At 35.1% G+C, this 18,387-nt stretch overlaps 2 protein-coding genes across 37 annotated transcripts in view; one reads left to right on the forward strand and one right to left on the reverse strand.

Annotated features, from left to right (window-relative positions):
* Nucleotides 1-7,437, forward strand: part of SNAPC3 (small nuclear RNA activating complex polypeptide 3) — a 43,860-nt gene extending 36,423 nt beyond the window's left edge. For 10 of the 25 annotated variants that reach the window (NR_161447.2, NR_161438.2, NR_161450.2 and 7 more), the window contains 2 exons: nt 421-1,015; nt 2,333-7,437. Coding sequence is in view for 7 of the 25 variants with exons in the window: in XM_017015056.3 (XP_016870545.1) it covers nt 421-568 (148 nt within the window). In the remaining 18 variants the exon portion in view is untranslated. Of the gene's footprint in view, nt 1-420 lie in introns of all 25 variants that reach the window. The other 15 variants (NR_161446.2, NR_161442.2, NR_161448.2 and 12 more) reach the window with 6 other exon arrangements.
* Nucleotides 4,768-18,387, reverse strand: part of PSIP1 (PC4 and SRSF1 interacting protein 1) — a 46,905-nt gene continuing 33,285 nt past the window's right edge. For 4 of the 12 annotated variants that reach the window (NM_001317900.3, NM_001438386.1, NM_001438385.1 and 1 more), the window contains 3 exons: nt 14,711-14,939; nt 13,334-13,452; nt 11,361-11,933 (listed from right to left, as the gene is read on the reverse strand). In NM_001317900.3, coding sequence (NP_001304829.1) covers nt 11,909-11,933; nt 13,334-13,452; nt 14,711-14,939 — 373 coding nt within the window. In that variant the 3' untranslated portion in view covers nt 11,361-11,908. Of the gene's footprint in view, nt 6,283-7,449; nt 7,562-9,331; nt 9,546-9,658; nt 9,761-9,967; nt 10,039-10,639; nt 10,696-11,360; nt 13,251-13,333; nt 13,453-14,710; nt 14,940-18,387 lie in introns of those variants that run through there. The other 8 variants (NM_001128217.3, NM_033222.5, NM_001438383.1 and 5 more) reach the window with 4 other exon arrangements.

Raw genomic sequence — 18,387 nt, forward strand, 5'->3', positions numbered from 1 at the left:
TATCAGTTAAGAAGGTATATTAAGCAAAAGTCTATCAGATTTGTAGCATCTAATTTTGCCATGGTTTTTCAAGATGGTCTGTTAGAAGAAAATGACTATATTCGTACTTGGAGGATAGGTATGTCGTGGCAAATGTGTGATGCTTTCAAATAGATTTATATTCTTCCTTTAAGGGTAAGTATTACAGAGAAACAGCATTCTGCAGTGTTTCTTAATGTTAGATGCCCTTTCGCTTTGTAGAGAGAGTATTGGTGGTGATGTATTTGTATCTATGTATACAAAATTAAGGGATTATTATGCATTAATAACAGACTGATAAGGAAATAGAATGTTATATTTACATATTGCTACAGGTCATAAAGCATGTTAAGTATGGCAAATTTGATTGTAATGATGTACTTCTTTTTTTAAAAACTACAGATGGGTGACGAACAATGACAGTTTTGCACCAGAGGACCCATGCTTCTTTTGTGATGTTTGCTTCCGAATGCTGCACTATGATTCAGAAGGCAACAAACTGGGGGAATTCCTTGCTTATCCTTATGTTGATCCTGGAACCTTTAATTAAGAATAGCTACACTCACAAAAATACCCCCTCATGAAATAACTGTTCTCTTGGATGGTTACCTTATTTCTAAGAAACGCCACTGAGGAACAGGATCCACTTTGAACAGTCCGCTAAAGCTATCAAAAAAAAGTCCAAATGACAGATTTTCTTATAATGATAGTATTTAAATGTTTATAACATAGTTTAATTTTATATTTATTCCAGATAGTATTTAATTTAGTGCTTTTTACCCATTTTGAGTTGAGTTGTAGTACTTTATATATTCTGACTTTAAATCCTTTGTCAGACACACATATTCTTTCTCCCAATCCATGCCTTCCCTATTCATTCTCTGTCCAGAGTTTTTTGCTAAAGATAGAATTATTAATGATACATCAAGTAGTGGAAGTGTTTTGAAAATTCTTTGAAGAATGTGAGAGCTACACCTTCTACCATGAGGCTTCCAAGGTAAAGATCCTTCAAATAACTGTAATGGAAACTAGGGAGAATGAATTATTTACAAATAAGACAAAATTAATAGCTTTGGGATTATTTATTTTTTGAGACAAAATCTCGCTCTTGTTGCCCAGGCTGGAATACAGTGGCGCAATCTCAGCTCACTGCAGCCTCCGCCTCCCGGATTCAAGTGATTCTCCTGCCACAGCCTCCTGAGTAGCTGGGATTGCAGGCACCTGGCACCATGCCTGGCTAATTTTTGTATTTTTAGTAGAGACGGGGTTTCACCATGTTGGCCAGGCTGGTCTCAAACTCCTAACCTCAGGCGATCCACCCGCCTAAGCCTCCCAAAATTTTGGGATCACAGGCGTGAGCCACCGCGCCCGGCTGCTTTGGGGGAATTTAATCTTAGTGTGCTGTTTAGTAATGTTAGGTTTTGTTTTGGAGGAAACTAGGCATACAAGACATGTTAATAAGACTATGTGAATAATGAATTTAAAAAGATCTTGAGTATATACTCATAACTCCAGAAATAACATTAACTTGAAGCTTTATTTCTTGACAAAAGCTTTATGAATGTTATGAGTTTAAAATATGTCAATTTAATACTATGATTTAAAAAACAATAGCAGATTTCGTATGACTGTGGGGACATGGAAAAATCAAGATCCTATTGATTGCTAGCTCTGGCTCACTTATTCTCCGGTAATGATACTATTGGATATATACCAAAATTATATAAGCAAAAAGAAAAAAAATAAGTTTTCCTGGCCCAGGTCTTCCATTCTTCTGGTCCCCTTACTATAGTAATTCTAGTTACTCTCATCTTATTCTGAGGAAAAAAAAAAAAACCAAAACTTTTTAAACTTATTTTTTGACATAGGGTCTTACTGTGTCACCCAGGCTGGAGTACAGTGGCGTGATCTTGGCTCACTGGAGCCCTGACCTCCCTAGGCTCAGGTGATCCTCCCACCTCAGCCTACCGAGTAGCTGAGACATGGTGGCACAGGCCACCATGGCGGGCTAATTTTTTTATTTCTTGTAGATACAGGGTTTCACTATGTTGCGCAGAATAGTCTCGAACTCCTGACCTCAAGTGATCCATCCGCCTTGGCCTCCCAGAGTGCTGCGATTACAGGCATGAACCACAGCGCCCAGCAAAATAAACTTTCTTTATTTTCAGGTCTAGACCATCAGATAGATTTATTCAAATATTTTCTGGGAACCTTTATGGGTAGAACATTTAATACTGTTTAGAAGACTTTTAGGAATACTATAGATTTCAAATGCATCATTTAAAATAAATAAATTCCACTTTCTCTCTCCTAGGTTGTATTTAAATTTGACTGAATATCTGGATGGCTAAGAACAGACATTTATCTTACACATGGAAAACTGACGAAACCTATAAGCCTATGTGTTTGACAGTGAAGTATGTTTTATGGACTTAAATGCCACAAACAGTTAAGTCCATTGGCTTGGAGATGACAAGCACGAGTTTCTGGTATGTCTAGTGTTCTCATTCACTGATTCAGTCAGTACACAGATAATCAGTATAGAGAACTTAAGAGGCTGGCTTATGTTATACCTAAATTTTTACTTTCTTGTATACAACAATGCTAAAATTGAGCAGATTGATAACTGCCAGCAAACCATAGATTTAAGATAAATGAATGATTTACCCAACCCTAAAATTCCATGGGTAAAAATTTTGATTCCTTTATTTTCAATACTGCGTTCCTTATAGGTCTTACATGCATATGCAAGGATATTTTATCTTATTCATTCATTTCATACTCTCAAAACACCAAACTTCAAAAAGTTAATTATTGTCATAATGCATTATTCCATGTGTGGTGTCAATACATTTTAGCGGACAAAGAAGAAACATGCCAGTTAAAACATTTCTGCTACTGGGATTCTTTATTAATTATTTGAGAATGTTATTTTGCTAGTTCTTAAGGTTAAGTTTTTCATCAAAGACTCAGGTACCTATTATTGTTCCCTGGTGAAACTGAGGAGAAAAGTTAATCAACCAGGTTACTCCCACAGTTTGCCCGTGTGTTATGTATCAGTTATACAGGTATCCCACCAAGTTCAAGTCAAAAGAAATTCCTAACTTTGTATATTTCTGGAGCTATAAAACCCCTGATTTAAGACAGCTTTTCTCTTTTTTCGAGGCAGCTTTTCTTTATGCTTATTTCAATCAAATGTAACACGCCTGTCAAATTACATGTAACACATTAGCTAATGAAGATAGGCAACTGAAAATGTTGTCATGAACATGTCAACCTGCTTGGTAGTTGAATTTGACTTTTATATAATAGTGGATACACATGCACAGAAGTTACTAGAGAAGCAATAGCTATTTCTTTAAACATTCTTCAGGCATCAGTACCATTTAAGGACAATTAGACATTCTAGTTTTACTAGGAGAAAGGTCAGTCATCTCTAACATTGTGTTGCAGAATTACACGACACAAACATAAACACATTTCTGCCTATTAAACCAGTTTCTTTGTTTCTAAAGAGTTTAATGATACAGGTTTGCTATTTCCATTAGAGCATCCTTTTTCTGGCCAATCGGACAAAATAGAGTTAGCAAAGCCCTCACAGCACCCTATGAAAAATCTCTGCTCTTATACAGGATTAGATGCAGACCTCATCTTGACCTAACATCTGTAACCAGGTAAGTGTATGAGTAGGAACACAGACAGCAGTACTGTATCAGCAAAATCTATCATATTATTTGAAATCACTGGATATAATATTAATTATAAAGTGTATGGTTCTCTCCAGTTGTTCACATACCAAATCCCAGTCAGTTCTCAGATTCAGATAGATGTATCTGCAATTTCTCCAAGCAGCTAAGAAAACCTTCAATGGTCAGTTCTGCTTGGTCATGGTATGACTCTTTTTTTTTTTTTTTTTTTTTTTTTTTGAGATGGAGTCTTGCTCTGTCTCCCAGGCTGGAGTGCAGTGGGGCAATCTCAGCTCACTGCAACCTCTGCCTCCCGGGTTCAAGCAATTCTCCTGCCTCAGCCTCCCGAGGAGCTGGGATTACAGGCACGTGCCACTGCGCCCGGCTGATGTATGACTCTTTTATCCAGTAATCAAAACACATACGTACATACACACACATACCAGCCCAAAAGAGGTGTTAAAACATACATATTACACGTACTTTTTGGAGGGGTGGGGTGGGGTGGGGTGGGGTGGGGTGGGGGTTATCTATCTCAAAATTACCTTTTGGTGCCTTGTCAAGCTGTGGAGTTTTGACCACACACACAAATTGAGCCAATGAACAATTTCAATGATCCTGAAAGTTCTTAAGTCTTATGAATAATTATCAAGAGTTCTGAGAAGTTATCTGTAAATCAGCCTATGACACCATTTCTTGAGAGTTATGATTAAAGAAACAGCAATTATGCTTGAAGCGAACATACATCAACTAGTTAGAGCAAGGTCAGCCTGTACAAGCTGACATAAATTATGAGAATGATGCTCTATCTCTAGAATTGGAATATTCTGTGGCTTCTTTGTAAAACTATAGATCTGGTGGGTCATGGGAAGAAAGGGAGGGTGAACAAAAGATAAATATTACCTTTATTTTTTATCATCTTGAGCTTACTGTTTAGTTACCCCGTTTCCCAAAACAGCACAACCTCTGTGACCAGTTAACTAAGAAATTATTTCCTTGGCAGCAAACCCAGAATTCCATCACTTACTCTTGTAAATAGCAAGAAAGTAATTTACTAGCAGAGTTTGATAGAAAAATTCTTTAATGAAAACAAGTTTACACGTTGAACTTATGGCTTAACTAGAATAAATCTAAGTAAGTTAAAACTGTATAAGGACCAAACAGATAATGACTGGTATATATGCAGGTTCTCTCAAAACGGTGATTCCTAGTTCCATTATAAGACCTCTTTAAAAGCAAAAATGCAATTCTGTAGATGAAAACAGTTATCTCAGAGGGTCAACCACACAATGTCATACAGAGACGCTGGTCTTAAGCCATTTTTTTCCATATTCATATAATTTCAAAACATGAGAAGTATCCTACTTGCTGAGAAGTGCCAAATGACCCTAATATTCAAAATATCTTAGAAATGCTATCCTTTAGTTAACATACCCTTAAATTTTGTAACATTGATTTTACCCTGGATTTAGTCCATACACGTCAATGTACAGACTTATCAAAGTACAATGCTGGAACAACTAGTGTTTGTATTTTTGGAATCTAGAAAATAAAAACAATATAGCCATGATTTCAAATAGGTGAGTTTCCTTATATAACATTTATTCATATTTATTGTATAAGCATCATGATTTTTTCTTCCAATTAAGTTTTAGTGACTTCCTAAAGACATTTTTAACAACATTCCTCAAAAATAAACTTACTTAGTTTTCAGTTTTAGTTACTAGTGCCTGCCTATAAAAGGACCTTAAATGATTTAACCCTAAAGCCAGATTCATTCCTATATATACCCAGTCAGTTGTCTGCAAAGAAGTCCTAAGACTTCACTGAATGCCCAGCCACAAAACTAAATTACCTTCAAAAATTAATGTTTTATAGTTTGTAGAATTCTCAGTTCCATGTCAGTTGCTTAATTAGTTGTCATACCAAAAAAAACCATACAGAGCACACATTGTTCCAAAGAAGCTGGATAATGTAGCACAATGTAGACTGTGAGATTAAAATTAACTTTTGATAAAAAGGGAGTGAGTACTTGTATAGAAGTAACATTTTATCTACCATAAAAATGTGTAACTTCTACAAAACCCACAAACAGTGAAAAGACAGTCTGGTAAATCCAAGGTTTGTAAAAACTATGCACAAAACCCACAGTATTTGGGAAAAGAGGCAAGGTTTATACAAGTAGCAGTTTTAAAAATGTAACTTTGTTCTACTATCAATTACACATTAACATACACACACTAATTGAAAATATGCTACAACCATGTCTGGAAAAGCAGTTTAACATTTTCTAAATGGATTTTATCCCACATTTACTGTATAATGTAGCTGTTAATACTGCACAAGTACACTTAGCGATAATGTTTACTTTACTTTAAAACAAAGGGATTTTCTCCCTCAAAACAAGTTTTCAACATCAAACCTATGCTTATAAAAATTTAAAACTTTCAGCAGTCTATTTCAAATGAAAACCATTACAAACTTCTCAAGTGTTCTCTATATTCCAGGTATGTCAACCTAGTTATCTAGTGTAGAATCCTTCAGAGATATTTCAGTCTCTCTCTCTTCACTGGATGGCCTGAAGAAAAGGGGGAAAGGTACAACTGGAATTAGGATTTTCTCCTGATGAAGGAAAAAAAGACATTAAGTCTGCATTATATTTTTAAACCCATGAAAAGACTGAAACCAACCAAACAAAAGAAAAACTTGACTTGTTATTAGAACAGTCATTATTATTTTTTTCTTCTTCAAAACTGTTATTTTACCATGTTGTATCTTCTTCCCAAAGTAATATGCAGATGAAGCAAAATAACTCAGCAAAGTGTCATGGACCAAGCCCTTTCCATCATTTCTAGCATAAAAGTGAATTCTCTTTAAAGAACATGAGAATGTTTTATATCTGTGATACCAACATATTTCAAAATCTTAATAAAAAGAGAGGTTGATACACACATAGACAACAAGATTTCCCTCAATTTCAGAATTAGAAGGGATGCTTCTATCTAACTCCTTCAGATACACAGTGGAACAAAGCAAGACTTCAACTATGGCTCCATAGCCTATTTTAGGGTGGGTATTAAAAAATAGCCTGTGATGGCCGGGCATGTTGGCTCACAGCTGTAATCCCAACACTGGGAAGCCAAGGTGGGTGGATCACCTGAGGTCAGGAGTTCGAGGCCGGGCTGGCCAACATGGTGAAACCTCATCTCTACTAAAAATACAAAAAATTAGATGGGCGTGGTGGCAGGTGCCTGTAATCCCAGCTACTTGGGAGGCTGAGGCAGGAGAATCGCTTGAACCCAGGAAGTGGAGGTTGCAGTGAGCACGATCGTGCCATTGCACTCCAGCCTGAGCAACAAGAGTGAAACTCTGTCTCAAAGAAAAAACAACAACAACAAAACTGTGATTCTCCATCTAACTTTTTACAATTATCCTTTCACAATTCAAGAAAGTGTGAATGCAAGTCATTACTAACAGTATCTCAGTAAAAGTAGTCCAGGAGCAAATATTTTCTTTTTAACTGGGTTCCCAGCTAGTTCCATTCCCTTGAATTCAGTGGCAAAGTCACTGTCAATAAAAGGTTTTTACTCTTCTTCCTTTTTGAATTGTAACTTGCTTACTGAATTCAGGAATTGGGTGATCAAAAGATAACTGCTTATTATAGTAAGATAACCTTGGAACAGAACTGTGATTAAAAACCTGAATAATAAAAAACACACAAGACCCATTAAAACCTATTCCTCACTTTTTCTTCGTGCTGGCTTCATGGTTGTCTTTGCTGTCTTCATTGCTCTCCCCGTTATGTTGTGGCTGATTACCATCTTGAGCATCAGATCCTCCATTTAGAGTCTTTGACCCTTGCGAAGGAATCCAATGGAAAAACTTTGTTAAAGCTTACAAAACAATAATTGAAGGTGTCCACTAAAGATCCAGAATCAAAATACAACATGGCCATCGTGTTTCTACTACTTAATGTCTTTTATTTGAAATTACATTGTAATACAGCCCTCTCTTGAATGTTAGAATTGGGTTTTGATGGCTTTGTCAAAAAGGGGAGCAGATGACCACCAGAGGCTTTGGGTAGCTAAGGCACCATAAAAAGCAGGTTAACTATCTATGAGTACAGGAAGTGGATTATTAATCTGATTATTCTGGTTGTTACTATTACCAGGAATACTACAGGGTGTTGTAATTCTTAGCATATTCATTTATTCTACCACGGAAAAGCAATGTGAATCAAATTTTAAAATTTACTATTTTAGAACAAAGTGCTAAAGGAGTATTTCCTAATTGATATTTTTGTGCCTAATAAAGGGGGTTTTCCTGTAAGTCGTATTAATAATTCTCTAAGGGGACCCATGTCATTCCCCAATAAAGCAACAAAAACAAAAAACCAACCGACTGCTTTTGAAATGCCAGCTTTTACCTTAAGCAGCTGCCACTAAGATGTTTAATAACAAGACTGGAGGAGCTGATAATGGTACTATGATTCTGTTTTAAGAGTCTTTCATACATTCTGAAATGTTTATGAGTGAAATGGTATGTCAGGGATTTTTCGTAAAACAACTTTCAAGAGGGGCATAGAGAAAGCTTATGGGCTACAAAAGCACAATGATCATAAACTGAACTGCCAAAGCTGGATGACAAGGACATGAGAAGTTATTTCTATTTGTATAAGTTATAAATTTTTCCTAATACAAATGAAAAGAAAATAACTACTGTTAGTAATAAGTACTAGCAGGATTTAACTACTGCTAAAGTTAGTGAAAAAAGTAGAAGCTAAGGTTCAGTGCCTTACATATATGCTACACATCTAAGTGCTTTGTAAGACTTTATCACCAGGCGCGGTGGCTCATGCCTGTAATCCCAGCACTTTGGGAAGCCACGGCAGGTGGATTACCATAGGTCGGGAGTTCAAGACCAGCCTGACCAACATGGAGAAACCCCGTGCCTACTAAAAATACAAAATTAGCTAGGTGTGGTGGCGTATGCCTGTAATCCCAGCTACTCTGGAGGTTGAGGCAGGAGAATCGCTTGAACCCAGAAGGTGGAGGGTTGTGGTGAGCCGAGATCACGCCACTGCACTCCAGCCTGGACAACAAGAGCGAAACTCCATCTTTTAAAAAAAAAAAAAAAAAAGGACATGGCATTAATACTGTGAAGTCTGTTCAGGGTAACTCAGCAGCATCATCAGAATACCTGTATCAAGTAATGGCAGGTGTAGTCTCCACCTATGAGGCTGTGTTTTAATTTAAAAGGCTACTGTACGCTATTTTACTTTTTAGGTGAGAAGAAAACAGAAGCAGCTGAGCAACCAGGAAGTGGGTACTCTAGGGATTAGGAGGCATTGTGATGGATGGGTTTTTAAAAATTGTTTATCCAGAGTCATCTGCCTCATGAGCAATGGTTTCTGCCTTAGAAGTCGAATATAAACTGACATGATTTTTTGTTCTCAATGCACACTGCTCTAGTCCTTCAATAGGCCCATCAGATTTTCACCATTTTGCCTTTGTATACTTTTTCTGTGGCGTATACACAGTGAAACTATGTATGAAAGCCATTTTTAAAAGCAGTCCTGGCAAATGGTTTAAAAACTGGTGTGAAATTGTTGGCTTTTTACCACATACCTGTTTGTTCCTTCTCTAGCTTTTTGTTTGGCCCTTTCTTCCCTTGATCTTTGGTTTTATTCGCTTCCTCATGCTGTCTTTGTTCAGCAAGAGATTTATTCAGCACTTGGGTGATCACGGAATCTCCTTCACCAACCAAGAACATGTTCTTAAACTTGTTATACAACATTGTAGACTTTTCCATGATTACCTGACTAACTTTGAATCGCCGTATCTGAGAAAACAATATACATTCATCATAATTGTTTTCCTAATTGATTTTTTAAACAATTTTTAAATGAAGTAATGACAAAATTCAAAGAATCCACATGACTTGAAATCACTTACTTTTTTCAGTGTAGTAATCATCTCTGTGTGTTTCTGAGCTTGTTGCATTGTGACCTGAAGTGAAGCAAGTTCATCCAAGGCCTCAATGCATCTGTTCACATCCTTCATGACAAAACAGTAATTTCATAGCTGTTAATTATCTTAACACTTAAACAATCTGTTTCTAAAGATCGTTTCCAAAAAAAAAGAGGTAGTGCAAAATGACCAGTAATTATCCCTTAAATTTACATACTCATAAGATCATGTGAGAAAATAAAAGATGAAGCTATAAATGCAGTACTGAAGTATTAAATGAAGTTAAACACTTACAAGATTATCAATTTTGAGTGAATTTTTAATCTCAGCATGTATCCTTTGAAGTCGAGAATCCATTGATGTTTCTACAAATTAAAATATGTGAAAAACAGTGAACAGTTTTTCCAAAACCAGTATTTCTATATACAGGCTAAGTATAATGAATTAGTGGACTTAAAAAAAAAATGTTCTTAGTAATCTTTACTAAGAAGCTCAAAGATATGCACAATAGCTTAACTAAGAATAAGTACTTATTGCCATTTTTAGTGGTTGAGAAAAGCAACATGCAGTGTAAAAGCACAAAACCACCACTTGGCTGCGTTTTTCCTAAAATAAATAGTCTGCATATGATAACTCCTCTGCTCTCCAGTCCCCAAACACCTGCTTTTCCTTATGTTTAACCAAGGGATTTGTCTGAAATGGGAAAGCATCCAGCTTTCAGCAAGTGTACTAAAATTTGACACCATCAAATAATTAATGAGCATTAAACATAAACAACTCAAGCAAGTTCACTTGATTATGCTTAAAATACAATGCAATTTATATAAAGCCCATTAGGGATTTGAAAAATTCTATTTGTAGGATATGAGTATAAAATTATTCCAAAACCAATACATGAAAAGTTATGTCTATATAACTTCTTTTCCATGTATAATTTTATGTATCTTAGAAAGTGAAATAACTAACCTCGCTTCTTCTCCACTTTCTTAACTTCTGGCTTCTTTCCTTCATCTTTATTCTGCCTATCAAATGTTAACAAAAATATTTCAACACATTGGAATTTTGTGACTAAATGCCCACAATCCCTATGTAAAAGCTAAAAATGTTTTCCTTAAAATAAGTCAATAGCCTAGACTGCAAAGGAACTGACTGTAGCTCTTAGAATGGTGCAGTTCCGTAGCATAAATATAAGCAAAACTCTAATTAACATGCTAGATTAAATCATATCTGGCTTTTCAGTGACATCACAAATAGTGTGTTGCTAGAAGAGCAATTTCAGGGTCACTGGACAAACAGGCCACAATGGGAAGATGACACCTATAAATGTTTAATGGCTTCTACATCCATTCTTTTTTAAAGCTGCATCTTAAAATAGACCAATTTAATCATTGTGCATGTAACAAGCAGATTAATGAGTTCTGAAGTTAGCTTTAAAGTTAAATAGACTTAAGATAACACTGTTTTTAAAATTTTGGCCAATTCATCAAACTTGAATGACGTCCAGTAACATTCACTAACATTTCACAAAAGGTACCATTTTATTGTCAATCACAAAAATAACCACTTAAAATTGAAATCTTAATTTCTAGTACCTTGGCTTAGAGTTCAGGCCATATTATGAACCAATTCAAATAGACAAGAACAAAAAATATCTAAAAATCAGGTTTTTTTTTTAAAAAAAACTTTATTTTAAAATTTTGGTTACAGTTTCATTCTTAACAAGTCTACTACTGTTTAATCTCTCAGGATTAAAAAAACATTTATTAAGATTCTAAAGAATTAAACAACAAAGGAATGTCAAGAGAAGGGCCCCATTCTCAGGGATATAACTGCTATTCCAGTTTAATAACTAGCTTCAAAACAAAATGAATTTTTATATTTTCTAGATGAATAATGTACAACCACCATCTTCGTCTGAGCTTGTTATTACTTTCAAACACAAAGCTTCATTTTAAGCTTGGTTAAAAAAAAAAAAAAAAAAAAAAAACAGGAATGATGGCCGACCTTAGTATGTAGTGTGTACCTTACAGGAAATTTGTTAATCATAACACAGTAATGCCATTAATAATGAAGTCCTCAATTTAGAATCTGGAACATTCTTCCATCAATGGGGGGAAGGGGGAAATTCAGTCCAATGAGTCTGTATCAAGATCTTCATCTCTTGTTTGCTCCACTTGTATTCTCTTTTCAGTAACTGGATTAATGCTTTGAGCCCAAAATGAGATATATTTTTTATTACTGTAGATTACATGTTGTTTGGCTGGGAATACAATACAATAAACTTTATTTTGCATAATGCATTTCACACAAGCTGCATCTGAAATGCTTTACAGAGCAAAACTGTCCAAGTACAAAGTTTTGTAATAACAGGAGAAGGAAAGAAAACACAAATATTAGAATTTGAGAAAGTTACATTGGAGGACATTCAAAAGAAACTGAAATACATAAAGATAACTTTAAGATACTAAAGAAGGGTTGGGCTACATATACTAGTAACAACTAATTTTATATCTTAATTTTGAGATCACAATAAAGTCAAAAGCAACAAACAGTCCAACAGCTTTTCAGTGAAAAGATAGAATAGAAAATGATAGGTGACAAAGAATAACTTAAATATTTACAGAAGTGCTTAAAGTCTAACATTAGAGGGAATAATATTTTTGAGCTTTAGATAAGTTATTTAAATTACTCCCTCAAGGAGCTAAAACTACTTGTATATCCTCCAAACTAAGAAAGCAGAGTAAAACGCTGTACTTGTCAAGAAAGACTTTGGCTTACGGATATATTATATAAAGAAAAAAAGTACAAAATTGTTCAAGAATTGTTTTACTGCTCATCATTAACTTTGTCTTATTGACCTAGAGCATGTTTTAAAAATCACCTCACTAAAACAACAACAAAAAAACAAAATTTAGTCAGAATGTAAGACGCTTCACGAGAAAAGAAAAGCATGTCAGAGAAAGAACTCAGAAGTGACAGTCTAAAGGTAACTAGGAAAGCAAATGTAATAAAGACACGAAGTCTGTTCATTATTATCATTGCTATTACTTTTCCTTCTAGTAATAAAATTATATAGTAAGGGGAAAGAAATTCCCCATGGCAAGTCCTGTCTCTATAAGTATCAAAATTTAAGAGAAAACAGCTTTGAATTTGATTTATATTGCACATACATAATAATGTACACCCTGTCAGCCTTTAGATTTACTTTTACTGGCTTCCTGGGTTTCCAAATGTGCTTTTGTTACTTTTGCTGGTCTTTAGGGTGAGGCCTGCTTGGTGGTGTGATGAATAAGGGCATTTCCTGCATTCTTTGTCTACCAGTATATTATCGCCCCTCTATCTATATGTATTATATTATACAAACAAATGGTTGAGGATGAGTACACTTCTTGCAAAGCCAGTATCAATTAAATCCTATCTGCACTTCGTTTAAATTCAAAAATAATTCACAGAGTGACTGCCTCAGTCAATTTCATCCTCTCAGAAGAGAATGAAGCCTGAAATAAGATCATCATCATATATTGAAGATTTTTCTAACACATGGGAAAAGTCACTTCTTCAAAAGGCTTCATAAAGTCTGGAAAATGAAAGTCTATTATTTAAAAATTCCATGCTAGCCTTTAAAAAGAACCCAAAATTTAGAAAAAAAAAAATACTTACTGCTCAGTTTCCATTTGTTCCTCTTGCTTGCGTTTTCGATCTGCTGCTTCTTTCTCATGTTGGCCTTTCAGCATATTCCTTCTGTGAGCAGTCTGAAAGTTCCTCCCACCTTTTCTCTTCTGTTTTGAGAATTAGGATGGTTTTATTTAACTATAAAGTCAGTGACTAGTGCTTATGGAATTATAATCTTGGGGGAAAAGCAGCAGCTAGTTTTTAAAAAAGGGATGAATACTCAAATTAGCAACCTAAAAATAGTCTTTGAATTACACCTATCTCTGCAAGTTTAACTTTGATTAATGACCGTGAAATAATCATCTTGTTTTATGCCCTGCTATAGGAGTGATGTCCTTTGGATAAAATATAGTATGTCAGTCTGTTTGCCTCTCTACAGAGTGATTTGACTTGAGTACTGACAAGCACACTACATGACCTATCCAATTTAAAATGTTTGGTTTCTAAAAGATTAAGAAATGAGCCAAAAATCAGATGAAAGTAAACAAAAGATTTGCATGACCTGAATCTGTAAATCTCTAAGGCTATACACAAAATTTTATTTTTCTACACAAAAGGATACACAGCTTTAATGAGGTTCCCAACAACTATGGCGTCCAAATAAATTTACATACCACTGATAAAATGTACAATAGGCCTGAAGGGTGTTAAGAACTTCTTGGGGGTAAATAACAAAAATCTCTATATAAATCCACCTCTTTTAACATTTGTCTTCACTGGCCACAGCCTATTTCATCTACCTTTTCTAGACAGATGGGGTTATTGGAAAGGTACTGTTTACTTAATTTCCAGATCATAATTGTAAAATAGATGAATTTAGAGAACAGATAATAAAGGGACGTTTTCAATATGCTTTGTAACACAGCTAATTCAAGTCTATTCAAAAAGGTAAACAAATTCATTTTAACTGCCACTGATATTTATAGACTTCCTCCAAAATATTAAAAGCTCTTAAACTGGGCAGATTAAGAAATACATAAATGGCCAGGTGTGGTGCCTGTAATCCCGGCACTTTGGGAGGCCAAGGTGGGAGGTTCACCTGAGATCAGGAGTTCAAGACCAGCCTGACCAAGATTGCAAAACCTTGTCTCCACTAAAAATACAAAAATTAGCCGGTAGTGGTGGCACATGCCTGTACTTCCAGCTACTCAGGAGGCTAAGGCTGGAGAATTACTTGAATCCAGGAGGCAGAGGTTGCAGTGAACCAAGATTGTGCCACTGCACTCCAGCCTAAGCAACACAGCGAGACTCCATCTCAAACAAAAAAAAAACAAAAAAAAAAACAAAAAAAAAACAAAGAAAAAACAAAAAATATATATATAAACTAAGAATAGAACAGCCATTTTATATATGTAAACTTTATACCTTTTCACCTTCTTGATCATCTCCTTCTTCTTCAGAATCGGAGGTTGAAGTAACCCCTGTTTTAGCTAAATTTTTCCTTTTTGATTCAACTTCTTTCTTCCCCTCTTTTTTATCCGGCTCTTTTCTTGGCTTATCTTCTTCCTTCTGGCCCTCTTCATCCTTCTTAGGCTGCTTTTTAGGTTGTTTTTCCTCTTGCCCCTTTTTCTTACTTTTGTCCTCTTCAGTAATGCTATTTTAGAGAACATAACAATGTATACTTGTCATTCAACTATAATAGTATTTTAGATATCAGTAAGCTATAATTTTTAATTTAAAGGCAAATCTAAAACAAAGTAAAAAGAGTGTCTTCACTATCCAATCATAAAAGGAATTCTGTCACAGAACATCCTTTTGGTATAAATTAGAAGATAGAAGATGGGCAGATCCCTGGCTCTTATGGAACTTAAATTCTACATATTTGTAAGAATAAATTATGTTTAAAAAGTAGACACACTGGGACAAATGGAATTGCGGAAGTGAAATCAAATACGGTCGTTTTAGAACTCAAATATTCTTTGCAGGGTAAAAAGGTCCCAACTTAAGCATATGATAAATATATAGCCAATTAAGCATGTTTTCAGACAGTGCTGTGCTGACTAGCACCTAAGTATTCCCATCACCACTGAATTTCACAGACACCACTAAAACAAGAGAAACTACCTAAACTGCTCAATAATCCTAATTACTGCTGCATATTTATGCAAGTTGGTACTACAGAAATAGGCTCTAGGAGAATCAAATAATGCAAATACTAACCACGTAATTACTTTTATGGTTGATATATATTCTTCTAAAGCAATTCTTTTACAAATAAATACTTCATTTGAAGCTGGAATAAGCCGTTTAAAAACTGTAACCTTTTAACTGTCCAAAGAATTTCATTGAGATTTTCGCAAATTATTCAATTAAATCAATGAATTTGAGAGCTTGAAGAGACTTCCTATCATTCAGTTCAACCCCTTCCATTTGACAAATGAGAAAATGATGATGCAAAAGGTCAAATAACAAGCCCAACATCTCAATTCCAAATCCATTAACCTCTTTCCAGACAAGTGATTCCCTGACCACTTAAGAACTATTAAGTTGGAAGAGAAGAAATTTACTTTTGCCCCTTTAGAAACTTTTTATTATATAATTATCATTGGGTATGCTTATTTTCTAATGGTCCTATGGTTTTTATCCTTTTAACTTTAGCCTCTCTGGGATTAAAACCATCCTTTACTTTTAATAAATGAAAGTAAAAGCATGCAAGTGAAACTATTTGCTTTCTTCAGGATTTCCACTGATGTAAATATTTTGATAATCAGTTTCCTAAAAATGGGACTAGAGTCCCATTTAAAAAGACATTTCTGTGTCTCTTAAACAATACTGGCCAACTACTTCTCCCAAAATGTTACACCTGTATGGAAGGAAATAGCTATTAAAAATACAAATACCATTTGACCCAGCAAATCTGCTTCTAACAATGTATCCTAACCAATATATTTGCATTATGTACAAAAGAATAGATGACAATGTTTTTAAAATCGTCTATCCATACATAGGATAGATCTTAAGAATTATAAAACATACAGTGGGATACCATGCAGCTGGTCTTTAAAAAGTGACTTTAGGGATTTATTTTAAAAATTTATCCTAAGGTCATAAAAAAGATTATTTCAAGGTGTGAAATAATCTTTGTGCCAAAACAATTTACATAAACATGACTATCACTGCTTGCTACCAATGAGTCTTTTCCCAGTGGTTCTTCCATGAAATACAGACTTGTGACAACTTCCCTTTTTAGCAGGTAAGGGATATTAGCAAAGTTGTATTTGTAAATTTCTTAATCTTTTAATATATGTTAATATAAGCAAAGACTAATGCAAACACAACCCTAAGAGCTTCAGTGGGCTTTAACAAACATTTCTGAGGATTATGAGTTGGTTTTTAGCTCTTCTGGGCTCTATTCTACTGTTGTGTCACATCAGTACCCGTGACAAAGAAGTAGACGCTAAGAGATACATGGTGTTCTAACGGTGAAGAGCAGAAGTTTAAAAAGAGCTTATACAGTTTAGTTCTGCACTCCACTGAGTGTGTGCCCAGATACACAGCCAAGAGTAGTTACAGCTCACACTCAGCCTACGCACAGCATGAATAAGAAATAAACGTTGTAAAGGCTACTGCTATTTTAGGGTTGTCCATTGCCTCAGGAAAAAGCTCACTAATAGAGAAACTGACACCAGGACCAAAAACCTAAAACATGTAGTCACTTGCTTTAGGGCTGGGAGACTGGAAACCCTAATACGTTATTATACAATGGGTAAAACTGTTGGACCGCAGCAGAAATAAGAAAATATATTCAATCAACTTGTGGCTTTGGGTGAAGAAGTTTCAAAATAGAATACTGGTAGCGTGAAATGACTATCAAGGTGAATTTGATAGTGTTCAAGAAAGATGTGTTCAAAAAAGATTAGCCTATTTTCAAGTGAGGATGTAGGACTTTCAAATTGGGTGATAGCCTGGGTCAAAGACCCAATAAAGGGTATAGCTGCAATCCTTAAGAATTAAAATTGGACTTCATTAATCCTTCAGATGGACAAATGATTCCTGAGGGATGGTTTCTCACAAAAACCTATAAACTCAAAGTATCTGTTATTAAATATAAAAAGACGAGCATGTCTGAGAAAAGTCTTAACAATAATTGCATAGGAAGCTGACCAGAATTAAACACACATACAAAAGTATTACATTACCAAAAGTGACACCAGACTCCATCAAAAGAAAGTAAGTGAGATGAGGATAAGTTCCTAAAAAGGTACACTGGGCCCTCAGATCACTATGGTCCGAAAGTAGGCTGAGAAAGCTGCTCAGCTGATGAGGAGGGCAGTATTTTCCAATGACCTTTTCAGATGCAACAAAGGATGATACTGAAAAAGTAGAGAAGTTCCAGAGGAATCAGCCAAAAGCCAAGAAGACAAACGGAGTGGGAAGCATACTCCGGGGGAAAACTGGGACCTAATTAGGGAACACTAATTATATCCAAAACAGAGGGATCTCACAGTATTTTCCCAGCAGAATTTCAGATTTCCTAGGGAATAATGACTGCCAACTCACCTGTTAAGTATCCAATTTCTTAATTTCACTATAATAGTTAAAGTATGTTGTATTTTTCTGCCACTATTTTTAAAAATTGACAGGTAAAAATTCTATGTGTTTATGGTGTGCAACACAATGTTTTGATGTACGTATACACTGTGGAATGGCTAAATCAAGCTATTTACCATACCACCTCACATACATATTTTTATTTTGTGGTGAGAACCCTTAAAGTCTACTCTCTTAGTAATTTTCAAGTATATGATATATTGTTATGTGCCACTATTTTTGAAAGTAAATACAGACTGGCAGTGAAACTCTTTAAACATATTTTGGTTGAAACATACCAATTCTCTAATAGTGTTCTACAATTAGAATTTTCTATAATCAGTTCATTCAAAACAATGTAAATCTATGCTTAATAGACATACCCCACTTAAGCCTTTCAAATCTTCAAACACAATAGCCACAAAAAGTTTTTCTCCCCCTTTGTCTAAATATACTCTCTATTCCTTCTGGCAAAGATTCCCCAAAAAAGCCAAAGTAAAAAGGATCCAAGT

This window comes from Homo sapiens, chromosome 9 (assembly GCF_000001405.40).
Source record: "Homo sapiens chromosome 9, GRCh38.p14 Primary Assembly".
Classification (NCBI taxonomy): Eukaryota; Metazoa; Chordata; class Mammalia; order Primates; family Hominidae; genus Homo; species Homo sapiens.